This window comes from Homo sapiens, chromosome 19 (assembly GCF_000001405.40).
Source record: "Homo sapiens chromosome 19, GRCh38.p14 Primary Assembly".
Lineage (NCBI taxonomy): Eukaryota > Metazoa > Chordata > Mammalia > Primates > Hominidae > Homo > Homo sapiens.
Genome location: NC_000019.10, coordinates 55,180,828 through 55,207,625, shown reverse-complemented (window position 1 = coordinate 55,207,625; position 26,798 = coordinate 55,180,828). Strand labels below are relative to the sequence as shown.

Sequence of the window (26,798 nt, the reverse complement as noted above, 5' to 3'; positions counted from 1 at the left end):
GTCGAGACCCCCAGCCCCTCCTCCCTCAGACCCAGGCCCCCAGGCCCCCAGGCCCTCCACCCTCAGGCCAAGGTTCCTGATCCCCAACCTTGGTTTTTTTCTCCCTTCCCAGTCTGTTCATTGCTCTCTGCCCTCGGTTTTCCAAGGACATATATTTCAGGAAATGAAATCATTAATTTTATCTCTCAGCCTTATCGGGTGGAGCCAACCCCAGCTCCCTAAGCTCTGCTCCTGCCATGCTCCCCCTTCTCTCCTCGACCCAGGAAAGACGGTCGAGGTCGTGACAGCCCAGCCTAACACCGGCCCCTCCTTCCCATGCAAGGGTGACTCATGGGGCGGGGACCAGCCGCTCCTCCCAGCCCCTCGGCCTCACTGGGCGGAGGAGTGGTTGAGAGGCTGACTCCGTTTTCTCTGGGTTCCCTCCAGGGCCTGTGCAGCTGGACAGGGGCCAGGGCGCCTGGTGAGTGACCCCTGCCTGAACTCACTGCCCACTCGAAGAGGTGGGACCGCAACTGCCGTGAGCCTCTGGGGGGTCCCCGTGGGGTCCAGTGGTCCATGGTAGGGGTTTATGAGCGCCGTTGTTTCTGGACTTGGGGCGTGAGCTCAGGGGTTGGGAGGGATTGTACTGACCTGGTTCCCTTTTTGTCAGACCTTCCTTCCCAATTCTCAGCCCCCAACCCAGGGAGGAACCTGACAGTGGAGACTCAGACCACCAGCTCCATCTCCCTGAGCTGGGAGGTCCCCGATGGCCTAGACTCACAGAACTCCAACTACTGGGTTCAGTGTACTGGAGACGGCGGCACAACAGAGACTCGAAACACAACAGCCACCAACGTCACCGTGGATGGCCTTGGACCCGGGTCATTGTATACGTGTTCTGTGTGGGTGGAGAAAGACGGAGTAAATAGCTCTGTGGGGACTGTCACTACTGCCACAGGTAAGAGGCAGCCACTGCTTTATTTTTATTTCTTTTATAAGGACAGTGGTAGGGGGTGGTTGAGAGCTGACAAAATGCGACAGGTTCTTTAGTTGGATAGAAACACAGTGGAAGCCACACGTGAGAATTTCAATTTTCTATCAGCCACATAAAAATAAGTAAAAAGAAACTGGTCAGCCTGTCTCTACAAAAAAATTAAAAAGTAGCTGTGGTGGCGTGTTCCCGTGGTCCCATCTACTCGGGAGGCTGAGGTGAGAGGATCGCTTGAGCCCGGGAGGCAGAGGTTGCAGTGAGCTCTGATTGGACCGCTGCACTCCAGCCTGGGCAACAGAGAGAAACCCTGTCTCAAAAAAAAAAAAAGAAAAGAAAACAAAAGAAAACAAAAGAAAAGAAAAACAAACTAAATTACTATGAGAGATTTTATGTAGTCCATCAGATACAATTTTTTTTTTTTTTGAGGCAGAGTCTTGCTCTGTCGCCCAGGTTGGAGTGCAGTGGCATGATCTTGGTTCACTGCAACCTTTGCCTCCTGGGTTCAAGTGATTCTCCTGCCTCAGCCTCCCGAGTAGCAGAGACTACAGGCATGTGCCACCATGCCCAACTAACTTTTGTATTTTTAGTAGAGACTGGGTTTCGCCATGTTGGCCAGGCTGGTCTCGAACTCCTGACCTCAGGTGATCCGCCTGCCTCGGCCTCCCAAAGTGCGGGGATTACAGGTGTGAGCCACTGCACCTGGCAGATACAAGGTATTTTCATTTTGACTTGTAATCAATATAAAAACGATCATTCAATATATACACCAAGTATATACTCACACACACACAAATATATATAAAGGATCAATGAGACAGTTGACATTCTTAATTTCATACGAACTCTTCGAAAGCCGGTGTGGATCTTCCACTAACGGCTCATCTCATTTCACAAAAGCCACCTCACGGTGCTCAACACTCACGTGGAACTCGTGGCTGCCACACTGGACAGTGCAGAGCTGGGCCTCCCTGCCTCTACCTGCTGGATGCAACGGTTAAGGAAGGGCTGGAAAGTTTGAGGGCCAGAAACTACAACTGATTTTCCCTCCTGTGCTGGTTTTCAGCTCCCAACCCAGTGAGGAACCTGAGAGTGGAGGCTCAGACCAACAGCTCCATCGCCCTGACCTGGGAGGTCCCCGACGGCCCAGACCCACAGAACTCCACCTACGGGGTTGAGTACACTGGAGATGGTGGCAGAGCAGGGACTCGAAGCACAGCACACACTAACATCACCGTGGATGGACTTGAACCCGGGTGTTTGTATGCGTTTTCCATGTGGGTGGGAAAGAATGGAATCAACAGCTCCCGGGAGACTCGAAATGCCACCACAGGTGAGAGGCAGTCGCCATTTGTTTTGCTCTTACTTGTTTAAGGGGCAGTAGGCAGGAGAACGTAGCGGATTTCTATTCCATAGTCCCTCTGGGCCACATTGAGCCAGGTACTCATGTCCACATCCTGGGGCAGTCTCAGCTCAGGAGATGAAGAAGGAATGAATGTCCATGGTACCTCCAGCTGCTAAGCTGGGGCCGGTCTGTGTCTAGGACTCTCTAGAATGTACCTTCCTGCACCAAGAGGAATGTGTAGGGGCCAAGGCATGTTACCTGAGCTTTCAAGGAATTAGATACTGTGAGTGGGGACACTCTGACCCTCTGACTCTTCTTCTAGTCCCCAGCTGCGTCACATATTGAGGATGGAAACTCAGATCATCAGCTCCATGATCCTGATGTGGAGAGCTCCCTCTGGCTAGATCTCCATTGTCCGATATGGTAGCCACCAGCCACACATGGCTATTAAATTTAAGCTCGTTAAAGTTGCATGAAACTGCAAATTCAGTTTCACATTTCATATGTTTGAAAGCCCTGTTGAAGGGCTTCCATTTCCTTCTCTGTTCTCCTACCATACTGGAAGGTGGGAGAGCATTTCCATCGTTGCAGAAGCTCAGTTGGAAAGCGCTGGCTCAGGTCTTTGTTACTCAAAGTGTGGTCCATGTGTGGGCAGCATCCGGGTCTCTGAGAGCTGATGGAAATACATTGGCAAGTGACACTGGTGGGGGAGAAAAAGGGTGGGGGGGAGTGCAGTCTCTCAGCTCCATCCTAGCCCTGCTGAGTGAGAACCTGCATTTCACAAGGTCCCCTGTGAGATGTGCACACAGCAAAGAATGAGAAGCCCTGGTCTAGACCATAAACTCTGCATCTACTGGCACCAGCTGTTGAGGGACAACTAGGAACTCTGATGATCAAAAATGCCCACTTGGCCAGGCATGTTGCCTCACGCCTGTAGTCCCAGCACTTTGGGAGGCCGAGGTGGGAGGATCACCTGAGGTCAGGAGTTCGAGACCAGCCTGGCCAGCATGGTGAAAAAATATAAAAATAAGCCGGGTGTGGTGGTGCAGACCTGTAGTCCCACCTACTCGGGAGGCTGAGGCAGGAGAATCGCTTGAACCCGGACGGCGGAGGCTGTGGTGAGCCGAGATCGTGCCACTGCACTCCAGCCTGGATGACAGACAGAGACTCTGTCTCGAAAAAACAAACAAACAAAAAGCTCACTGGCTGCCCCCGTTATGTTCTGTAGTCCTGCTCATATTAGATCTTTCTTCCTAATTTCTCAGCTCACAACCCAGTGAGGAACCTGAGAGTGGAGGCTCAGACCACCAGCTCCATCTCCCTGAGCTGGGAGGTCCCCGATGGCACAGACCCACAGAACTCGACCTACTGCGTTCAGTGCACTGGAGATGGTGGCAGAACAGAGACTCGAAACACAACAGACACCAGAGTCACCGTGGATGGCCTTGGACCCGGGTCATTGTATACGTGTTCTGTGTGGGTGGAGAAAGACGGAGTAAATAGCTCTGTGGAGATTGTCACTAGTGCCACAGGTAAGAGGCAGCCGCTGTTTTATTTTTATTTCTTTTATAAGGACAGTGGTAGGGGGTGGTTGGGAGCTGACAAAATGTGACAGGTTCTTTAGTCCAATAGAAACACAGTGGAAGCCACAGGTGAGAATTTCAATTTTCTATCAGCCACATAAAAATAAGTACAAAGAAACTGGTCAGCCTGTCTCTACAAAAAAAATAAAAAAGTAGCTGTGGTGGCGTGTTCCCGTGGTCCCACCTACTCGGGAGGCTGAGGTGAGAGGATCGCTTGAGCCCGGGAGGCAGAGGTTGCAGTGAGCTCTGATTGGACTGCTGCACTCCAGCCTGGGCAACAGAGAGAAACCCTGTCTCAAAAAAGAAAGAAGGAAGGAAGGAAGGAAGGAAGGAAAGAAAGAAACTAAATTACTATGAGATATTTTATGTAGCCCATCAGATACAATTTTTTTTTTTTTTTTTTTGAGACAGAGTCTCCCTCTGTCGCCCAGGCTGGAGTGCAGTGGCGCAATCTTGGCTCACTGCAAGCTCTGCCTCCCGGGTTCAGGCCATCCTCCTGCCTCAGCCTCCCGAGTAGCTGGGACTACAGGCGCACACCGCCACACCTGGCTAATTTTTTGTATTTTTAGTAGAGACGGGTTTCACCGTGTTAGCCAGGATGGTCTCGATCTCCTGACCTTGTGATCCACCCGCCTTGGCCTCCCAAAGTGCTGGGATTACAGGCGTGAGCCACCGTGCCCAGCCCTTTTTTTTTTTTGGGACAGAGTCTCTGTCTCCCAGGCTGAAATGTAGTGGCATGATCTTGACTCACTGCAACCTCCACCTCCTGGGTTCAAGTATTCTCCTGCCTCAGCCTCCTGAGTAGCTGGGACTACAGGCATATGCCACCATACCTGGCTAACTTTTGTATTTTTAGTAGAGACGGGGTTTCGCCATGTTGGCCAGGCTGGTCTTGAGCTCCTGACCTCAGGTGATCCGCCTACCTCAGCCTCCCAAAGTGCTGGGATTACAGGTGTGAGCCACTGCGCCTGGCAGATACAAAATATTATCATTTTGACATGTAATCAATATAAGGAAAGGATCATTAAATATACACACTGAGTATATACCCACAAAATATATATATATATGTGTATGTATATATATGTGTGTGTATATATATGTGTATGTGTATATATATGTGTGTGTGTGTGTGTGTATAGGATCAATCAGATAGTTGACATTCTTAATTCTTAATTTCATACGAACTCTTCGAAAGCCGGTGTGGATCTTACACTAACGGCTCATCTCATTTCACAAAAGCCACCTCACGGTGCTCAACACTCACGTGGAACTCGTGGCTGCCACACTGGACAGTGCAGAACTGGGCCTCCCTGCCTCCACCTGCTGGATGCAATGGTTAAGGAAGGGCTGGAAAGTTTGAGGGCCAGAAACTACAACTGATTTTCCCTCCTGTGCTGGTTTTCAGCTCCCAACCCAGTGAGAAACCTGACAGTGGAGGCTCAGACCAACAGCTCCATCGCCCTGACCTGGGAGGTCCCCGATGGCCCAGACCCACAGAACTCCACCTACGGGGTTGAGTACACTGGAGATGGTGGCAGAGCAGGGACTCGAAGCACAGCACACACCAACATCACCGTGGATAGACTTGAACCCGGGTGTTTGTATGTGTTTTCCGTGTGGGTGGGGAAGAATGGAATCAACAGCTCCCGGGAGACTCGAAATGCCACCACAGGTGAGAGGCAGTCGCCATTTGTTTGATCTCTTATTTGTTTAAGGGACAGTAAGCAGTAGAATGTAGACGATTGTCTATTCCATAGTCCCTCTGGGCCATATTGAGCCAGGTACTCATGTCCACATCCTGGGGCAGTCTCAGCTCAGGAGATGAAGAAGGAATGAATGTCCATGGTACCTCCAGCTGCTAAGTTGGGGCCAGTCTGTGTCTAGGACTCTCTAGAATGTGGACCATAATGCCAAGGGGCACCTTCCTGCACCAAGAGGAATGTGTAGGGGCCAAGGCATGTTACCTGAGCTTTCAAGGAATTAGATACTGTGAGTGGGGACACTCTGACCCTCTGACTCTTCTTCTAGTTCCCAACTGTGTCACATATTGAGGATGGAAACTCAGATCATCAGCTCCATGACCCTGATGTGGACAGCTCCCTGTGTCTACACCTCCATTGTCCAATATGGTAGCCACTAGCCACACGTGGCTATTAAATTTAAACTCATTAAAGTTGCATGAAACTGCAAATTCAGTTTCACATTTCATGTGCTCAAAAGGCCTGTTGAGGGGCTCCCAGTCCCCCCTTCATCCTCCACGGTGCTAATGCCTACCATATTGGAAAGTGAGAGACTGTCTTCATCACCACACAAAGCTCCCTTGAGTCTCTCTTATTTTTTTCTTTTTTTTAGAGCTGGAGTCTCGCTTTGTCATCCAGGCTGGAGTGCAGTGGCAGGATCGTAGCTCGCTGCAGCCTCAAATTCCTGGGCTGAAGCAATCCGCCGACCTCAGCCTCCCAAGTAGCAGGGACTACAGGCGTGGGCCACCATGCCTGACTAATTTATTTTTTTTAGAGATGAGGTCTTGCTGTGTGGTCCAGGCTGGTCTCTAACTCCTGGCCTCAAGCAATCTCCCTACCTCAGCCCCACAAATTGCTGAGATTACAGGCATGTAATCTCACATGAAATGTGAAACTGTGCTGGGCCATTGGGCCTCTCTTAGGCAGTAACCCCAGGCATAAAGGCTTCACCTTTATGACCTAATCTTGCAAGGGCCCTACCTCTTAATGCTATTCCATTGGAGATTTTTATTTTGTTTTTTTTGTTTGTTTTTTTTGTTTGTTTTGAGACGGAGTCTCGCTGTGTCGCCCAGGCTGGAGTGCAGTGGCGCGATCTCGGCTCACTGCAAGCTCCGCCTCCCGGGTTCACGCCATTCTCCTGCCTCAGCCTCCCGAGTAGCTGGGACTACAGGCACCAGCCACCACGCCCGGCTAATTTTTTGTATTTTTAGTAGAGACAGGTTTCACCGTGTTAGCCAGGATGGTCTCAATCTCCTGACCTCAGGTGATCCCCTTGCCTCAGCCTCCCGAAGTGCTGGGATTACAGGCGTGAGCCACCACGCCCGGCACATTAGTCTGAGAAACACGGTCTAGAACATACACCCTGCATCTGCTGGCACCAGCAGTTGAACAAGAGCTAAGATGGTTGAGGGCAGTGAGGGGCCCACTCCTGCCCCGTTCTGTTCTGTATCTCCGACAACATAGGATCTTCTTCCTACTTTCTCAGCCCCCAACCCAGTGAGAAACCTCCATATGGAGACTCAGACCAACAGCTCCATCGCCCTATGCTGGGAAGTCCCCGATGGCCCATACCCTCAGGACTACACCTACTGGGTAGAGTACACTGGAGACGGTGGTGGCACAGAGACCCGAAACACAACAAATACCAGTGTGACAGCTGAGAGACTTGAGCCCGGAACCTTGTACACATTCTCTGTATGGGCAGAAAAAAATGGAGCACGTGGCTCCAGGCAGAATGTCAGCATCTCCACAGGTAGGAACCCTCAACGGCCACTCCCTGTTTTGGTGAGAGGTTAAGAACCAGCAGGAGCGGCGTGGCACCTCTTCTGGGCTCTGGCTCTGTAGTCCGTAGGCTCTGCAGACATCTGCCTCTCCAAGTCCACAGGACAGATGTAATCACAGCTGGGGGCTGGCTCTGCCCTGAGGAAGAAGAGAGCCCATCCAGACTTCTCCCGCTGAGTGTGGGGCTGTGGGGACACAGGCCTTTTCTTTCTTTCTTTCTCCTTCCCTTCCCCTTCCTTCCTTCCCTTTCCTTCCTTTCTTCCTTCCTTTCTCGCTTTCTCTCTTTCCTTTCTTTCTTTCCTTCCTTTCTCTCTTTCTTTCCTTCTCTTTCCTTCCTTTAAAGCCTTCCTTCCTCCCTTCCCTCCTTGTTCCTTCCTTTCTCTCTTTCTCTTTCTTTCCTTCTTTCTTTCTTTTTTTCTGTCTCTCTCTCTTTCTTTCTTTCTCTTTCTCTTTCTTTCCTTCTCTTTCCTTCCCTCCTTCCTTCCTTTCTCCCTCCCCTCCTCCCTCCCTTCCTTTCTCTCTTTCTTTCTCTTTTCTCTTTCTTTCTTTTCCTTCCTTCCTTCTTTCTTTTCTTTCTTTCCTTCTTTTCTTTCTTCTTTCTTGAGACAGAGTTTTCCTTTGTCACTCAGGCTGGAGTGCAATAGCACAATCTCAGCTCACTGCAGCCTCTGCCTCCTGGGCTCAAGCAATTCTCCTGCCTCTGCCTTCCAAGTAGCTGTGACAACAGGCACGCACCACCACACCCAGCTAATCTGTGTATTTTTAGTAGAGACAGGGTTTTGCCATGTTGCCCAAGCTTGCCTTGAACTCCTGGCCTCAAGTCACCCACCTTGGCCTCCCGAAGTGTTGGGATTACAGGCGTGAGCCACTGCGCCCGGCCTCTCTCTCTCTTTCTTTCTTTTGAGACGGTCCTGCTCTGTCTCCCAGGCTGGAGTGCAGAGGCACAATCATAGCTCACTGCAGACTGAACCTCCCAAGCTCAAGCGATCCTCCCACCTCAGCCTCCCTAGTAGCTGGGACTACAGGCATGTGCTACTATGCCCAGCTAATTTGTTTTAATTTTTAGTAGCGATAGGGTCTCACTATTTTGCTCAGGCTGGTATCAAATTCCCAGGCTCAGGCAACCCTCCCGGTTTAGCTTCCCAAAATGCTGGGATTACAGGCCTGAGCCACTGTGCCCTGCCAGGAAGTGTTTCTGGATGAGCTGGGCTGCACAAGGACAGGGCGTATCACTGTGTTCTGGACTCTTGAGGACTAGGGGATGTGGAAATCCTGACTCTGCTCCCTCTCCCAGTCCCCAACGCAGTGACAAGCCTCAGCAAGCAGGACTGGACCAACAGCACCATTGCTTTGCGCTGGACAGCTCCCCAGGGCCCAGGCCAGTCTTCCTACAGCTACTGGGTCTCATGGGTCAGGGAAGGCATGACTGACCCCAGGACCCAAAGCACCTCAGGTACTGACATCACCCTAAAGGAACTGGAAGCTGGCAGCCTGTACCACCTCACCGTCTGGGCCGAGAGGAATGAGGTCAGAGGCTATAACAGCACCCTCACTGCAGCCACTGGTGAGACACAGTCGGTTCTGAACCCAGCCCTATTAGGATGGGGGAAGGAAAAAGATGAAAGGACTTTGGGAGCTCCTTGGGAGATGAAGAGTACCCATGGGCCTCTCCAGCCTCACCGGCCGGAGCTTAAACCTGTAGGTCCCGTTCCTAGTGGGTGTCGTTTCTTAGCAGACAGGGCTTTCCAAGCTGTGGGACCTGTTTTTTCTCCCTTTGGGAAATGGACTCTTTGGGGTCAGGGGGAGCCCTCAATTGTCCAGCACCACCTCTCAGGAGCTGACAAAGTCACCAGCTGGACAATAGCCAACAGCTGGTCCCAGGGAATTAGATGAAGCGAGAGGGCCCCACCTCTCAGCCTAGGCACGGTGGGTCCCACTCATGAGAAAAATCAAAATCACTCTGGAGACTAGGTTCATTCTTTTTTGTGTGTGTGACAGGGTCTTGCTCTGTTGCCCAGGCTGGAGTGCAGTAGTGTGATCATGGTTACTGCAGCCTCGACCTCCTGGGCTCAACTGATTCTCCCACCTCAGCCTCCTGAGTAGCTGGGACCACAAACATGCGCCACCATGCCCAGCTCATTTAAAAAAATATTTTTTGTAGAGAGAGGGTCTCCTTATGTTGCCCAAGCTGGTGTCGAATTCTTGGGCTCAAGTGATCCTCCCGCCTCGGCCTCCCAAAGCACTGAGATTACAGGAGTGAGCCACTATGCCTGGCCTGAACCTGGAACTCTTTAATCCTTGGTCATTTGGGCTAAAAAGATGAAATTTATCAGCTCCCTCTACAAACGTGGTGTGTCTAGAGTGAGAAGACACCCTACCTGGGGTTCCTGTGGGAAAGAAAATACAGAGATCAGATCTCGAGGGCCATGAGAGGTGGAGGACTACAAATCCCATCACACCATGGGGCCATGACTTCATAAGCTGAAGCGATACAGAGAATCCATAGCCTCATGGGAACTGTAGTTTCAGTAGGTGGAATTGGTGTGCATTTGGGAAGAACAGAAAGATGACAGGGTGGGACCCAGGGCTGTAGCCAGGGGACGGAGAGGGCTAGGAGATTCTGGTCCCCATGGTCTTTGGGTATCTAGACTCTTTCCTGTGGTTCAGCCTCCTTAGCCACTGGAGCCATCAATAATGGATATCTCAGCTTTGCTGTGGGGGAGAGGCAGACAGGCTGGGGTAGGAGGGTCTTCGAGGATACCCCCTTAGGCCTCTGTTCTCACTTCTCAGCTCCCAATGAGGTCACAGATCTCCAGAATGAAACTCAGACTAAGAACTCAGTCATGCTGTGGTGGAAGGCCCCTGGAGACCCCCACTCTCAGTTGTACGTATACTGGGTCCAGTGGGCCAGCAAGGGACATCCCCGGAGGGGGCAAGATCCCCAAGCGAATTGGGTCAACCAGACCAGCAGGACCAATGAGACGTGGTACAAAGTGGAGGCCCTGGAACCCGGGACGTTGTACAATTTCACCGTGTGGGCAGAGAGGAATGACGTAGCCAGTTCCACGCAGAGCCTCTGTGCGTCCACATGTGAGAATCCCCTTCCTGCCTTCAAGTGGTGAACTGGGCTTAGCTCACAGTCCTTGCGAGCTGAGAGATGAATGGAATACAAATTCCATCAGGCCACAGGCCATGACTTCATGAGCTGCAGTGATGGAGGAGCCCAAGGCCTCATGGGAGTTGTAGTTTAAAAGGACTTATTTGTGTCCATTCGGGGAGGACAGAAAAGGAGGGAAGATGAGGTAGTTTGGATTTGGCGAGGAAGGGATGGGCTCGTCTCAGAAAACTGGGGGTAGGGGTGGAGGGGGTGGAAAGCCACCTTGGATGGCACTGCTGACCTCTTGCTTCCTTCACCCAGACCCAGACACAGTCACCATCACTTCCTGTGTCAGCACCTCAGCGGGCTATGGAGTCAACTTGATCTGGTCCTGCCCCCAGGGAGGCTACGAGGCCTTTGAGTTGGAGGTGGGAGGACAGCGGGGCTCCCAGGACAGATCTTCATGTGGGGAGGCTGTGTCTGTGTTGGGTCTCGGGCCGGCTCGGTCCTACCCAGCCACCATCACGACCATCTGGGACGGAATGAAGGTCGTGTCTCACTCTGTGGTCTGCCACACCGAGAGTGCAGGTGAGCGGAGCCGCGCGGGCCAGCCAGCTATGATGAAATTCTCGGTAGACCCCATCAGGCCCCATTGTGAGGAAATCAGTGGGACTCTTTTGTTTCTCATTTCCTTTGAAACATCTTTTTTATTTTGTATTTTGAGATGGAGTTTTGCTCTTCTTGTCCAGGCTGGAGTGCAGTGGCACGATCTTGGCTCATTGCAACCTCTGCCTCCCGGGTTCAAGTGATTCTCCTGCCTCAGCCTCCTGAGTAGCTGGGACTACAGGCACGTGCCACCACGCCCGGCTAATTTTTGGATTTTTAGTAGAGATGGAGTTTCACCATGTCGGCCAGGCTGGTCTCGAACTCCTGACCTCAGGTGATCTGCCTGCCTCAGGCTCCCAAAGTGCTGGGATTACAGGTGTGGGCCACCGCGCCATCCACAACTCACCACTTAAAGTTACAATTCAGTGACTCTTCTTATATTCACAACATTGTGCAACCATCATCACTATCAATTTTAGAACATTTTCATTACCCCCAACAGAAAGCTCACCCCGCTGAGCCACCACCCCCTAGTTCTCCCATTCCCCAGCCCCCAGCCCTCGGAAATCTCTCATCCACTTTCAATCTCTATAGATTTGCCTCTCTGGGACGTTTCATTAAAATGCAATCATAGAGTGGGCACAGTGGCTCATGCCTGGAATCCCAGCACTTTGGGAGGCTGAGGTGGAAGGATCACTTGAGCTCAGGAGTTCGAGACCAGTCTGGGCAACAGAGTGAGACCCCATCTCTACATTTTAAAAAATTAGCCAGCTGTGGTGGTGTGTGTCTGTAGTCCTAGCTACTCAGGAGGCTGAGTCAGAAGGATCACTTGAGCCCAGGAGGTTGAGACTGCAGTGAACTATGATCGGGGCCACTGCACTCCAGCCTGGGTGAAGGAACGAGACCCTGTTTCAAAAACAAAAAAAATGCAATCATACATTATGTGTTTCTTTGTGACTGGCCACTTTCACTGAGCATAATTTGTTTTTTTGTTTTTGTTTTTGTTTTGAGACTCACTCTGTCACCCAGGCTGGAGTGCAGTGGCATGATCTCTGCTCACTGCAACCTCTGCTACCAGGGTTCAAGCAATTCTTGTGCCTCAGCCACCCAAGTATCTGGGATCACAGGCATGTGCCACCATGCTTGGCTAACTTTTTATTTTTTATTTTTTATTTTTTGAGGCGGAGTTTCACTCTTGTCGCCCAGGCTGGAGTGCAGTGGTGCAATCTCGGCTCACTGCAACCTCCACCTCCCGGGTTCAAGCGATTCTCCTGCCTCAGCCTCCTGAGTAGCTGGGATTATAGGCGCCTCCTACCACGCCCAGCTAACTTTTATACTTTTAATAGAGATGGGGTTTTGCTATGTTGGCCAGGCTGGTCTCAAACTCCTGACCTCCGGTGATCCACCCGCCTCGGCCTCCTGAAGTGCAGGGATTACAGGCATGAGCCACCATGCCCAGCTAATTTTTAAATTTTTTTAGTAGAGATGGGGTTTTGCCATGTTGGACAGACTGGTCTCGAACTCCTGACCTGAAGTAATCCTCCTGGCTCCTCCTCCCAAAGTGTTGGGATTACAGGTGTGAGCCACCGCACCTGGCCTACCCATTCATTTTTATCCATTCATTGATCCAGTTGATGGGTCAGTTGAGTAGTTCCACTTTTGACCATTATGGGTAATGCCGCTAGGAACGTTTGTGGATAGGTTTTGTGTGGACGTATGTTTTTATTTCTCTTGGGTCTATACCCAGTAGTGGAACTGAGGGATCACATGGGAACTATACATTTAACTACCCCCCACCCCGGGTTTTATTTTTCCTAATGTGGTTGTATCATCTTGCAGTAATCAATGGGGTACCTGAAAAACTTTGGAGCTTAAGCTTTGGAAAGACCTGGCCATGTACCAAGACCATGGCCATAAGCTTCACTTTGCCCCATCAATCACTTCCTAGGAATAGGGTTTCTTATGAGATTGGGTCTCCAATCTGGAGAGAGACTGAGGGTTGATGTGGTGACCAGTGGATGCTGTTTGAACTGGGCTTTGCCAGACCCCATTGCTTAGAAAGTTCTCTCCCTTAGTAACAAGGATCCCTGAGAGAACAGGTCCTCTAGTCCAATTCTGTGAGGCCAAGTCCATTCTGTGAGGCCAAGTCTCCCGTACAGGTTGTAAGACCCTTCAGTTCCCTGTCAACAAACACACTCTTCCCAGGATTGCTGAGAAGCTGCAGCTTGGGGGCCTTCAAGGCTGATGAAGATGGGCCATAGGCTTGAGCCTACCCTAAGACGAGACATCTAATGACAGATCTTGGGAGAACTGTGCCATCAGAGCCTGAGAGCACCCATAGACACCACCAGATCAGCCAGGCGCGGTGGCTCACGCCTGTAATCCCAGCACTTTGGGAGGCCGAGGCGGGAGGATCACCTGTGGTTGGGAGTTCGAGACCAGCCTGACGAACATGGAGAAACCCTGTCTCTACTAAAAATACAAAAAATTAGCTGGGCGTGGTGGCGCGTGTCTGTCATCCCAACTACTCAGGAGGCTGAGGCAAGAGAATCACTAGAACCCAGGAGGCGGAGGTTGCGGTGAGCCGGGATTGCACCATTGCACTCCGGCCTGGGCAAGAAGAGCAAAACTCCGTCTCAAAAAACAAACCAAGAAAAAAAAAAAAGACACCACCAGATCTGGGTAGGCTCCGCTGCCGGGGAGTCCTTCCCCAGCCAGCAGGACCTCTGAGAAGATGAAGCCTCAATCTGGGGAGAACAGAAGCCGTCCATGCCAGGGATGATTTCACAACCAGCAAAGTGTTTCCCCCGCCTCGGCACTACAGACGTTTCCGGCTAGATCCTTCTTTGTTGTGGGGGGGCCGTCCTGCGCATTGTAGGATATTGAGCTGCACCTCTGCTTCCCACCCACTATGTGCCAGCAGCACTCCCACTTCCAAGCTGTGACAACCAAAAGCGTCTCCAGACATTGCCCGGTGTCTCTTTGGGAGCAAAATCACCCTTGTTGAGAACCACTAGTCTAAGCTAAGGAAGGCAAGAATCACTTTTTTGTTTTGTTTCGTTTTGTTCTTTTTTGAGACAGGGTCTCACTCTGTTGCCCAGGCTGGAGTGCAGTGATACGATCATGCCCACCACAGCCTCCACCTCCCAGGCTCAAGTGATCCTCCTGCCTCAGTCCCCTGAGTAGCTGGGACTACAGGCATGTACTACCATGCCCAGCTATTTTGTTGGGGTTCTTTTTGTTTTGTTTTGCTTTCTTTTTCTTTTTTTTTTTTTTGAGACAGAGTCTCACTCTATCACCCAGTCTGGAGTGCAGTCGTGCAATCTCAGCTCACTGCAGCCTCCACCTCCCGGGTTCAAGTGACTCTTATGCTCAGCCTCCTGAGTAGTTGGGATGACAGGTGTGCACCACCATACCCAGCTAACTTTTGTTTTTTTAGTAGAGACTGGGTTTTGTTATGTTGCCCAGGCTGGTCTCAAACTCCTGGGCTCAAGTGATCCACCCACCTCAGCCTCCCAAAGTGTTGGGATTACAGGGGTGAGCCACCATGCCTGGCCAGGAGTCACTCTTCAGCAACCAGGTCACCTGTGAAAATGATGGATAGTTGACCCTTGAACAATTGTCCCCTACACAGTAGAAAATCTGCATATAACAGCCGGGCATGGTGGCTCATGCCTATAATCCCAGCACTTTGGGAGGCTGAGGCAGGTGGATCACGAGGTCAGGAGATCAGGACCACCCTGGCTAACACGGTGAAACCCCAACTCTACTAAAAATACAAAAAATTAGCCAGGAGTGGTGGCGGGCACCGGTAGTCCCAGCTACTCAGGAGGCTGAGGCAGGAGAATGGCGTGAACCCGGGAGGCAGAGGTTGCAGTGAGCCGAGGTCGCACCACTGCACTGCAGCCTGGGTGACAGAGCAAGACTCTGTCTCAGAAAAAGAAAAAGAAAAAAAAATCTGCACATAACTTTTGACTCCCCCAAAACTTAACTACTAATAGCCTACTCTTGATTGGAAGCCTTACCAATAACATAAACAACATACATTTCATCTGTAATATGTACTACATACTGTATTCTTTTTGTTTGTTTGTTTGTTTTTGAGACAGAGTCTTGCTCTGTTACCCAGGCTGGAGTGCAGTAGTGTGATCTGGGCTCACTGCAAGCTCCACCTCCCGGGTTCACGCCATTCTCCTGCCTCAGCCTCCCGAGTAGCTGGGACTACAGGCGCCCACCACCACGCCCTGCTAATTTTTTGTATTTTTAGTGGAGATGGGGTTTCACCGTGTTAACCAGGATGGTCTCGATCTCCTGACCTCGTGATGTGCCCATCTCCGCCTCCCAAAGTGCTGGGATTACAGGCGTAAGCCACCGCGCCCGGCCGTACTATATGCTGTATTCTTATAATCAAGTAGCTAAAGAAAAAAATGTTACTAAGAATATCCTAAGGAAGAGAAAATGTACTCGCTATTTATTAAGTAGATCATCATAAAGGTCTTCCTCCTTGTAGTCTTCGCGTTGAGTAGGCGGAGGAGGAGGAGGAGGTAGGAGAGGGGCTGGTCTTGCTGTCTCAGGGGTGGAGGAAAATCCATGGGTAAGCGCGTAAGTATAACTGGACCGACGCAATTCACACCGTGTGATGTTCGGGGGTCAGCTGTCTTTGGACCAGGCTCCTGGGGAAGAGGAAAGGCTGGGCAGGGTTGGAGACAGATGAGCAGCTCAGACCTGCGCTCTGAGGGTTCCCGATGCCTCCTCCCCACAGGGGTCATTGCCGGAGCCTTTGTGGGCATCCTCCTGTTTCTCATCCTCGTGGGCCTGCTGATTTTCTTCCTGAAGAGGAGGTGAGACTCAGCACAGGGCTGACCGCCTGGAGGGTGGGGGCTGGAGAAGAAGGAGGAGGACCGCTGGTTGCAGCCTCACCCCCTGAGCCTCTCATCCTAACGTCCTTTTCCCAGGAATAAGAAGAAGCAGCAGAAACCAGAACTCAGGGATCTGGTCTTTAGGTGAGCAGAAGGTCTGGGGGGTGCATTGGAAAGAATCTGGTCAAATCAAGGGGTGTTTGCTGGCTGCCAGCTAGGTCAGAGGGTGGATCAATGCATTTACCCACAAAGGTCTCAGAAGGGGCCCATGCCTCTGCGACAGGGACCACGGCCCTTCCATCGTGACTCACTCCCCAAGCAGCCTGGGCCAGCGAATTCAGTTCTGGTCTCAACTCCCGGACATTCATTCATTCAGCAGATATCAGCTGAGCACCAGCATGTATCAGGCACTGTTCCAGGTGCCAAACAAACAGCAAATGAAACCAAGATTCTTGCCCGCCAGGGGCTTATATTCTAGTACAGGAGATATCAATAAACAAGATTGCTGGGTGCGGTGGCTCATGCCTGTAATCCCAGCACTTTGGGAAGCTGAGGCAGGCAGACCACAAGGTCAGGAGATCAAGACCATCCTGGCTAACGTGGTGAAACCCTGTCTCCACTAAAAAATACAAAAAATTAGCCAGGCTTGGTGGCGGGCACCTATAGTCCCAGCTACTTGGGAGGCTGAGGCAGGAGAATGGCGTGAACCTGGGAGGTAGAGCTTGCAGTGAGTTGAGATCACGCCACTGCACTGCAGCCTGGGTGACAGATCGAGACTCCGTCTCAAAAAAATAATAGTAATAAAAAATTAAAAAAGATCATAAAAAATATGATATAAACTTTCAGACAGGGCCAGGCATGGTGGCTCACGCCTGTAATCCCAGCTACGCAGGTGGCTGGGGCAGGAGAATCACTTGAACCCGGGAGCAGAGGTTGCAGTGAGCTGAGATTGCACCATTGCACTCCAGCCTGGGCAACAGAGTGAGACTCTGTCTCAAAAAAAAATTATATATATATATAATTTATAATATATATAATATATAATATATAAATTTATAATATATAATATATTATATGTTATATATATAATATATTATATATTATATATATTATACAATATAAAATATACATTATATATAATATAATATATAAATTATATAATATATAATATATAAATTTATAATATATAAAATATATAAATAAACTTGGAGACAAGGCAAAAGGAGGGGATAGGAAGGGTAGAGGAATATTGTGATATTCTTTTTTTTTTTTTTTGAGGTGGAGTCTTGCTCTGTCACCCAGGCTGAAGTGCAGTGGCATGATCTCGGCTCACCGCAACCTCCGCCTCCCGGGTTCAAGCAATTCTACTGCCTCAGCCTCCCGAGTAGCTGGGAATACAGGCATGCACCACCACGCCCAGCTAATTTTTGTATTTTTTAGTAGAGACAGTGTTTCACTATGTTGGCCAGGCTGGTCTTGAACTCCTGACCTTGTGATCCACCTGCCTCGGCCTCCCAGAGTGCTGGGATTACCGGCGTGAGCCACAGCCCCTGGCCTATTTTGATATTCTTCTAATGTGAAAATTAGAATAAATTAGAGAGAAAATCAGATGAATTATTTTATTTTATTTTATTTTATTTATTAATTTGTCAAGACAGGGTCTCACTCTGTGGCCCAGGCTGGAGTGCAGTGGCGCAATCATAGCTCACTGCAGCCTCGACCTCCTGGGCTCAAGTGACCCTCCCATCTCAGCCTCCCCAGTAGCTGGGACCACAGGCACGCACCACAATGCCTGGCTAATTTTTTAATTTTTTGTAGAGATGGAGGTCGGGGGGGTGGTCTTACCAGGTTGCCCAGGCTGGTCTTGAACTTCTGGCCCCAAGCAGCCCTTCCACCTCGGCCTCCCAAAGTGTTTGCATCACAGGCGTGAGCCGCTGCACCCAGCAGGAATATTTTCGGCAGGATATTCAAGGAAAGCTTTGCTAACAAGATGACTAAGAGGAAGTCATCTGAGTACAGGCCTACGCAAGTGGGAGAGGAGCCGAGCATGCATCTGGGAAAGGCGCTCCCAGGACAGGGATGGGCGCGTGGAGGGCCTGAGGCAACAGCACACGTGAGGTTCAGAGAACATCGTGCGTCTCCGACTGAGCAGAGTGAGGAAGGGGAGGGCAGTGGGAAGTGAGGTCAGAGAGACGTCAGTGGGGCCACAGCAGGCACAGGCCTGTAGTTGAAAGTTAGGACTTTGGATTTATTGTGAGCTGAGAGTTCTTGGGAGATTTTGAATAGGCTAGTGACACAGTCTAACATGTTTAGGAAGAAGTCTAACATGTGGAAGAGATTTGTAATAATCCAGACAAGAGGCCAGGCGTGGTGGCTCACGCCTGTAATCCCAGCACTTTGGGAGGCCGAGGCGGGAGGATCACTTGAGGTCAGGAGTTCGAGACCAGCCTGATCAACATGGCAAAACCCCGTTTCTACTAAAAATACAAAAATTAGCCGGGCATGGTGGCTGGCACCTGTAATCCCAGCTACGCAGGAGGCAGAGGCAGGAGAATCACTTGAGCTCCAGAGGCTGAGGTTGCAGTGAGCTGAGATCACACCACTGCACTCCAACCTGGGCGACAGGATGAGACTCTTTCTCGGAAAAGGAAAAGAAAAAGAAAGAAAGTGAAACTACAGGAATGGGCCAAACCCTGTAAGAAGTGTGCGTCCAGCAAGAAAAGTGGCTTGGGGTTGGACACTGGGGAACAGTTACCTTTTAAGACGGACAGAGGAGGAGGGGCCTGCCCAGGAAATGAACAAGCAGCAGCTGGGTAGGTGGGGGCCAAGCCAGGGCTGGGTGTTCCGGAACAGTGCAGATCCAGGAGAAAAGGCAGGCACAGGCAGTGGTGCTAAATGCTGCTGAGCAGTCAGGCCGGTGGGGGCTGAAACGTGGCCTTTGCAATTACAGACAGGGAGGCCACGACGATTTTGGAGAAAGGTGTTCCCTGGAGTAGTGGATATAGACTCCAAGCCATGGTGATAGGATGACAGGAAGGAGAAAAAAACTGGTCTGCATGAGAAGTGTAAGTGTAGGGCTGTCTGAGTATGTTTATTATTTTTTATTTTATTTTATTTTATTTCTTATTTTTTGAGACGGAGTCTCGCCCTTTCACCCAGGCTGGAGTGCAGTGGTGCGATCTCGGTTCACCACAACCTCTGCCTCACGGGTTCAAGAGATTCTTCTGCCTCAGCCTCCCGAGTAGTTGGGACTACAGGCGTGCAACACCACGCCCGGCTAATTTTTGTAGTTCTAGTAGAGATGGGGTTTCACCATGTTGGCCAGGCTGGTCTCGAACTCCTGACCTCAGGTGATCCACCCGCCTCGGCCTCCCAAAGTGCTGGGATTACAGGCGTGAGCCACCATGCCCAGCCCTCAAAAGTGCAAGATTAAAAGAAGTTACGGTCTTTTCTCCCTGCTCCCCCAAAACCCGTAGCTCCCCAGGGGACATCCCAGCTGAAGACTTCGCTGACCACGTCAGGAAGAATGAGAGGGACAGCAACTGTGGTTTTGCAGACGAGTACCAGGTGGGGAGAGGACAGAGGGGCTGAGCTCAGTCTCCCTCCGGTGGCCCAGACCCCCACCCCCCACCCCCTGGCCAGACCTCACGGCTTTCGGGATTAAGCAAAAGTAGCATCACATATGTCATTGGATTGTGCAGAGATTCCCAGCCATGTTATCTTTCCACTCACTGAAATCTTAAAATAATGGTGGGTCAGTCCTAAAGTAACTCTCTCTGCCCCCACCCAGTGAGTCCTTTCTCCCCTGACACCTGCTTTCTTGCCTGCCTGAAGAAGTCCCATGGTTCCCTAAATCCTCCCCAGTGCCCCACAGGGCAGGTGGCACACACATCTATTCTGTTTTTGTGGGTGCCATATAATCTCAGGGTGCAACGAATAAACAAGGGGTGATGCCGAAGAAGGCAAGGGGAGCTCGGGGGTACCCCCGAGGGAAAGTAGAGAAAATCCAACACCAGGTACCCCCTCTCCCTGCATCCCCAGCAACTCTCCCTGGTGGGCCACAGCCAGTCTCAGATGGTGGCTTCGGCTTCAGAGAACAACGCCAAGAACCGCTACAGAAATGTGCTGCCCTGTGAGTCTCGGGTTCCTGCTGCTTTTGTCCCAGCCCTGATCTAGTCGGCACCCCACCCCAGTCCCCTTCTCCTACCCGCTTTGAGAAACAAGTCCTGCCCCCTACCGTGGGTCTCCTTTTTTTTTTCTTCCTTTTTTTTTTTTCTTTTTTTCTTTTTTTTTTTTTTTTGAGACGGAGTCTCGCTCTGTCACCCAGGCTGGAGTGCAGTGGCGCGATCTCGGCTCACTGCAAGCTCCGCCTCCCGGGTTCACGCCATTCTCCTGCCTCAGCCTCCCGAGTAGCTGGGACTACAGGTGCCCGCCACCTCGCCCGGCTAATTTTTTGTATTTTTGGTAGAGACAGGGTTTCACCGTGTTAGCCAGGATGGTCTCGATCTCCTGACCTTGTGATCTGCCCGCCTCGGCCTCCCAAAGTGCTGGGATTACGGGCGTGAGCCACTGCGCCCGGCCCCCCACCTTTTTTTTTTCTTTGAGACAGAGTCTTGCTGTCACCCAGGCTGGAGTGAAGTGGCACCACCTCCGCTCACTGCAACCTCCACCTCTCGGGTTCAAGCAATCCTCCCGCCTCAGCCTCCCTAGTAGCTGGGACTACAGGCGCCCGCCACCATGCCTGGCTAATTTTTGTATTTTTAATGGCGACCGGGTTTCACCATGTTGGCCAGGCTGGTCTTAAATTCCTGACCTCAGGTGATCCACCCACCTCAGCCTCCCAAAGTTCTGGGATTACAGGTGTGAGTCACTGCACCCGGCTGTGGGTCCCTTTGAGAGTCCTCCTGGCCTGCTCCCTGCAGCTGAGGTCCCTCCGCCCCTCTCAGTCCCTGTGTAGCTCCCAAGGTCTGCCTGCGTCTCGGCATGACTTTTGTCCATGGGTCTTGGTCTTGTCTCTGTGCCTCTCTGGGTCTCTCTGCCTGTGGTCTTGTCTCTGTGCCTCTCTGGGTCTCTCTGCCTGGCTAATGCTGGCCTCTTCTCCTAGATGACTGGTCCCGGGTGCCCCTGAAGCCCATCCATGAGGAGCCAGGCTCTGACTACATCAATGCCAGCTTCATGCCCGTAAGGTCGTGGTTGGGATTGAAAGGGTGCCCAGCACGCCTGGAGAGATAAGAGCTCGGGGATCAACTAAAGGCCCCCCTGACCCGCCTGCCTTCCTCAACCAGGGTCTCTGGAGCCCCCAGGAGTTCATTGCAACCCAGGGTCCCCTGCCACAGACAGTGGGTGACTTCTGGCGCCTGGTGTGGGAACAGCAGAGCCACACCCTGGTCATGCTGACCAACTGCATGGAGGCCGGCCGGGTGAGAGATCTGAGTCCTGGGTGCTGACTGGGTGCAGGACCCCGCCCCGAACACTCATCCAATGTAGACCCCACACCCAGACCTTACGGATTCCTCCAGGGTAACCCCAGGCGTCTTCAGTGTAGACCTGTTCCCCACTCTCCCCCCAGCCCATCTGCTGGTTCACATTTGGGGCCTAAAGCAGACCCCACAGACCTGGGTAAGAGGAGTTGTGTTCTCTGACCCCTCCTCCTCCCCCAGGTGAAGTGTGAGCATTACTGGCCTCTGGACTCGCAGCCCTGCACCCATGGGCACCTGCGGGTAACCCTGGTAGGTGAGGAAGTGATGGAGAACTGGACGGTGCGGGAACTGCTGCTCCTCCAGGTGCGTGTGTCCAGCCCCGTCCTGGCCCTCAGCCTTCCCCTGTGACATATGCCATGCATCCAGGACCCTCCACCAACTCCAACCTTCCACCCACTCCTCTGAGGAGCTGCAGTGTGCCCCAGGGAACCCGCTCCTGGTGCTAGAAGCCAGGTCCTCCCTACATTCATCTCCAGAGCCTGTGAGTGCTCCCTCCTTCCAGGTGGAGGAGCAGAAGACACTGTCTGTGCGCCAATTCCACTACCAGGCCTGGCCGGATCACGGCGTTCCCTCCTCCCCAGACACCTTGCTGGCTTTCTGGAGGATGCTTCGGCAGTGGCTGGATCAGACCATGGAGGGAGGCCCACCCATTGTGCACTGCAGGTGGGGACCAGCCCAGGACCCTCTCCCTTGAGAGAACCGCTCCCTTGGGGCTCAGACAGTTGTGTTAGACGGGACCCTGGGAACGTACAGGGGAGGTGAAGAGGGAGAGAAGGAGGAGGTGGATGTGGAAGATAAAGGGGGGCGTGAAGCAGATTAAGAAAAGAAAGGGGATAAGGATGAAAAGATGGGAACGAAAGATGAAAAGGCAGGCCAGGAGCGGTGGCTCATGCCTGTAAATCCTAGCACTTTGGGAGGCCAAGGCGGGTGGATCACTTGAGTTCAGGAGTCTGAGAACAGCTTGGCCAACATACAAACCTTGTCTCTACTAAACATACAAAAATTAGCCGGGTGTCGTGGCGGGCACCTGTAATCCCAGCTACTCAGGAGGCTGAGGCAGGAGAATCACTTGAACCCGGGAGGCAGAGGTTGCAGTGAGCTGAGGTCGCACCACTGCACTCCAGCCTGGGTGACTCTGTCTCGATTAAAAAAAAAAGGAAAAAAAGAAAGATGAAAAGGTAAAGGCAGAGAAGGTTGAATGCAGAAGAGAAGGGAGAAAGGATGAAGCCACAGGATGGGGATGTGGCCACAGATTCTGAGAAACACTGGAGACACTTCCCTGTGCTGGAGTGCAGGGCCTCCCCCATCAACTGCTTCCCTGATATTTATTTTATTTTATTTATTTTATTTTATTTTATTATTTTATTTTATTTTATTTGAGATGGAGTCTCTCCCTGTCGCCCAGGGTGGAGTGCAATGGCGCAATCTCAGCTCACTGCAACCTCTGCCTCCCGAGTTCAAGCAATTCTCCTGTCTCAGCCTCCCGAGTAGCTGGGATTACAGCTGCTCACCACCACACCCAGCTAATTTTTGTATTTTTAGTAGAGATGGGGTTTCACCATGTTGGCCAGGCTGGTCTCGAACTCCTGACCTCGTGATCCGTCTGCCTCTGCCTCCCAAAGTGCTGAGATGACAGGCGTGAGCCACCGCACCTGACCCTTTCCTGATATTTATGCTGAAGTCCCGTAGGTCAGATTTCACCTAACGGTAACTATTAGGGAGATGAGGAAGAGTAACAGCCCCTGAGACTGGGGCTCTGGTTTCAGTCACAGTGAACATTTACACAGTTCTACTGCTCCTCATGACAGTCTCATGGCAAAAGGGTGTCCTCCCCATTTTATTTTATTTTATTTTATTTATTTATTTGTTTGTTTATTTTGGAGGCAGAGTTTCGCTCTTGTTGCCCAGGCTGGAGTGCAGTGGCATGATCTCGGCTCACTGCAACCTCTGCCTCCTGGGTTCAAGCAATTCTCCTGCCTCAGCCTCCTGAGTAGCTGGGATTACAGGCATGTGCCACCACGCCCGGCTAATTTTGTATTTTTAGTAGACACGGGGTTTCTCCATGTTGGTCAGGCTGGTCTCAAACTCCCAACCTCAAGTGATCCGACCACCTCGGCCTCCCAAAGTGCTGGGATTACAGGCGTGAACCACTGTGCCCGGCAATGTCCTCCCCATTTTAGAGCTGAGTGGATGTCATCACATCATTCCATTAGTGTGCATATCCAGAAGCATATCTAGATCAGCCAAAGCAACAGAGACACTGAAGAGATTAGTAGCTTCCAGGCCCTGGAGGGTGACAGGCAATAGGGAGAGACGGCCTAATGGGCGTGGTGTCTGCTTTAGGGGTGATGAAAGTGTTTTGCAAGTAGATAGAGGTGGGGGCTGCACAGCGTTGTGAGTGTGACAAATTGCTCACGTTCAAATAGCTATTTTTTTTTGTGGAGACAGAGTCTCGCTATGTCACCCAGGCTGGAGTGCAACGGTGCGATCTCCGCTCACTGCAACCTCCACCTCCCAAGTTCAAGCAATTCTCCTGCCTCAGCCTCTTGAGTAGCTGGGAATACAGGTGCCTGCCACCCCGCCTGGCTAATTTTGGTATTTTTAGTGGAGATGAGGTTTCTTCATGTTGGCCAGGCTGGTCTCCAACGCCTGACCTCCGGTGATCCGCCTGCTTCAGCCTCCCAAAGTGCTGGGATTACAGGCGTGAGCCAGTGCGCCCAGCTTAAAATAGCTAATTTATTTATTTATTTATTTTTGTGGGGGACGGAATCTTGCTCTGTCGCCCAGGCTGGGAGTGCAGTGATGTGATCTCGGCTCACTGCAATCTCCGCCTCCCGGGTTCAAGTGATTCCCTTGCCTCAGCCTCTCGAGTAGCTGGGACTACAGGCGCCCGCCACCACACCCGGGTAATTTTTTTTTTTTTTTGGTACTTTAGTAGAGACGGGGTTTCACCATATTGGCCAGGATGGTCTCAATCTCCTGACCTCGTGATCCACCCACCTCAGCCTCCCAAAGTGCTGGGATTACAGGCGTGAGCCACTGTGCCCAGCCTAAAATAGCTAATTTTTTCACTGGGCACAGTAGCTCATGCCTGTAATCCCAGCACTTTGGGGGGCTGAGGTGGGAGGATCACTTGAGTCCAGGAGTTTGAGACCAGCCTGGGCAACATGGCAAGACCCCGTCTCTATTAAAAAGTTAATAAGTTAGTCAGATGCAGTGGTGCATGCCTGTGATCCAAGCTACTCAGGAGGCTGAGACAGGAGGATCACTTGAGCCCAGGAGGTCAAGGGTGCAGTGAGCCGAGATCATGCCACTGCACTTCAGCCTTCGTGACAGAGAGAGATCCTGTCTCAAACAAAACAAAAGACTAATTTTTGTGTTTAAAGGAATTACTAAATGATTGGCTGGAGAGTTCCTCTTCCTGTATTTGAACCCCGGCTCTGCCACTTATTAGCTGAGTGGCCTGGGGAATGGGACTTCACCTCACTCAGCCTCCATTTCCCCATTTGTACAATGGAGCTAGTACATCCGACTTCTTAGGTTTGGGAGGAGTGAAGAAGGCCCATCAGGCACTTAGAACAGAGCCTAACAGATGGAAGGAACTCCAGGCAGTTTTGTTGTTGTTGTTGTTGTTGTTTTTGAGATGGGAGTTTTGCTCTTGTCGCCCAGGCTGGAGTGCAGTGGTGTGATCTTGGCTCACTGCAACCTCCACCTCCTGGGTTCAAGCGATTCTTCGCCTCAGCCTCCCAAGTAGCTGGGATTACAGGCATGCGCCACCATACCCGGCTAATTTTTGCATTTTTAGAAGAGACGGTTTTGCCAGGTTGGCCAGGCTGGTCTGGAACTCCTGACCTTGGGTGATCCACCGGCCTCAGCCTCCCAAAGTGCTGGGATTACAGGTGTGAGCAGGCATAGTTATTGTCATCATTCAAACACAGATCCCTCCAATCAGCCATGACCCCGGACCCTCACACTCCTGCCCCTTGGTCTGACCCTTCCCTTGTTCTGCCTAGTGCTGGCGTGGGTCGCACAGGAACCCTCATTGCCCTGGACGTCCTGCTCCGGCAGCTGCAGTCCGAGGGTCTCCTTGGGCCCTTCAGCTTTGTAAGGAAGATGAGAGAGAGTCGGCCGTTGATGGTGCAGACTGAGGTGAGGCAGTCCCTCAGCAACACAGGACGGGAGGCAGTGGGACGAGGGACCCTGGGGCTCCACGCAGCTCAGACCTGGGGGGACGCCTCTCACTCCCGTGCCTGCTTCCCAGGCTCAGTACGTATTCCTGCATCAGTGCATCCTGCGGTTCCTCCAACAGTCAGCCCAGGCCCCAGCCGAGAAGGAAGTCCCGTATGAGGATGTCGAAAACCTCATCTACGAGAACGTGGCCGCCATCCAGGCCCACAAGTTGGAGGTCTAAGTGACGAGGGGGCTGGGTCGGCAGCCCAGGCATCCTCAAGCTCTGGACACCCACTTGAGCCCAGATTCCTGGAAGAGCAGAGGGCTGGGCTCCCAGACTCCTGGGTGCTGTGGGAGGAGGGGGCTGGTATCCCAAACTCTGGTTTCCCCAGGAGAGAGTGGTCTGGTGGGCTTCAGATGAGTCCTATGGGAGCTGGGGATCTGGATTCCTGGTTCCCTGAAGGAGGAGAGGGATGATAGCTTGGATTCCCTAGGTCTTTCCAGGATGCAGAAAGAAACAGGCTGGGGCCTGGATTCTGAGGCAGGAAGGAATTTGGGTCTGGAGTTCTGGCTACTTGAGGACCAAAGGCAGGAAGGATCCTGCCTTGATTTTACTTCAGAAACCAAATCAGTCTTCTATAATCTGGGGTCGGAGGGAGTCCCTGTGCCCAAGGTCTCTCTGCACCCCACCATCCACATGTATTTTTCCTTCTATCCCATAATTTATTAAATCACTGTTCTCCCCAGAGACAGTTGTCCCATGGATTTCTGGGTCTGGAAATAATATTGGATTGGGAGTAGGGATGGGTTCCTGGTATCTAGGGATCGAGGCGAACGTCCAGGAGGGGACTAGAGGGACCCACACATTTGCACATGAAAAAATGTAGGTTTGGGTGGTTGAGTCTCTCAGAGAAGGCAGTGTCCAGACGTCTGTGTCCAGGGTCTGGGCAGTATGGACAGGGCTCGCTGGAGCTAGGTGCTTGGGGACTTGCCTTCTGAGCTTTTCTTTTACTCTTCTCTGTTGTTGTTGTTGTTGTTTTGTTCTGTTTTTGTTTTTGTTTTTGAGACATGGTCTTGCTCTGTTGCCCAGACTGGAGTGCAGTGGCTCACTGCAGCCTTGACCTCCTGGGCCCAGGTGATCTTCCCACCTCAGCCTCTAGAGTAGCT

At 51.6% G+C, this 26,798-nt stretch overlaps 1 protein-coding gene across 26 annotated transcripts in view, besides 1 other annotated feature; it reads left to right on the top strand.

The window, feature by feature from the left end:
- The window catches only part of PTPRH (protein tyrosine phosphatase receptor type H), a 28,255-nt gene extending 1,876 nt beyond the window's left edge, over positions 1 to 26,379 (top strand). The window contains exons 2-20 of one of the 26 annotated variants that reach the window (XM_047439150.1): positions 427 to 460; positions 671 to 937; positions 2,034 to 2,300; positions 3,578 to 3,844; positions 5,304 to 5,570; positions 7,124 to 7,390; positions 8,714 to 8,983; positions 10,210 to 10,497; positions 10,838 to 11,104; positions 15,885 to 15,963; positions 16,078 to 16,125; positions 19,458 to 19,548; positions 20,023 to 20,113; positions 21,086 to 21,162; positions 21,267 to 21,401; positions 21,642 to 21,764; positions 21,964 to 22,124; positions 25,475 to 25,610; positions 25,771 to 26,379. In XM_047439150.1, coding sequence (XP_047295106.1) covers positions 427 to 460; positions 671 to 937; positions 2,034 to 2,300; positions 3,578 to 3,844; positions 5,304 to 5,570; positions 7,124 to 7,390; positions 8,714 to 8,983; positions 10,210 to 10,497; positions 10,838 to 11,104; positions 15,885 to 15,963; positions 16,078 to 16,125; positions 19,458 to 19,548; positions 20,023 to 20,113; positions 21,086 to 21,162; positions 21,267 to 21,401; positions 21,642 to 21,764; positions 21,964 to 22,124; positions 25,475 to 25,610; positions 25,771 to 25,872 — 3,237 coding nt within the window. In that variant the 3' untranslated portion in view covers positions 25,873 to 26,379. Of the gene's footprint in view, positions 1 to 211; positions 559 to 649; positions 938 to 2,033; positions 2,301 to 3,577; positions 3,845 to 5,303; positions 5,571 to 7,123; positions 7,391 to 8,713; positions 8,984 to 10,209; positions 10,510 to 10,837; positions 11,105 to 13,327; positions 14,240 to 15,884; positions 15,964 to 16,077; positions 16,126 to 18,931; positions 19,047 to 19,457; positions 19,549 to 20,022; positions 20,114 to 21,085; positions 21,163 to 21,266; positions 21,402 to 21,641; positions 21,765 to 21,937; positions 22,125 to 25,474; positions 25,611 to 25,722 lie in introns of those variants that run through there. The other 25 variants (XM_047439148.1, XM_047439149.1, NM_002842.5 and 22 more) reach the window with 25 other exon arrangements.
- Positions 17,458 to 17,957: an enhancer, noted in NCBI's record as "H3K4me1 hESC enhancer chr19:55701037-55701536 (GRCh37/hg19 assembly coordinates)". NCBI's record gives its function as "activates a minimal SCP1, AML or CMV promoter by ChIP-STARR-seq in naive H9 embryonic stem cells {active_cell/tissue: H9 hESC(naive)}" and the evidence as "EXISTENCE:reporter gene assay evidence [ECO:0000049][PMID:30033119]".
- Positions 26,380 to 26,798: the final 419 nt, after the last annotated feature.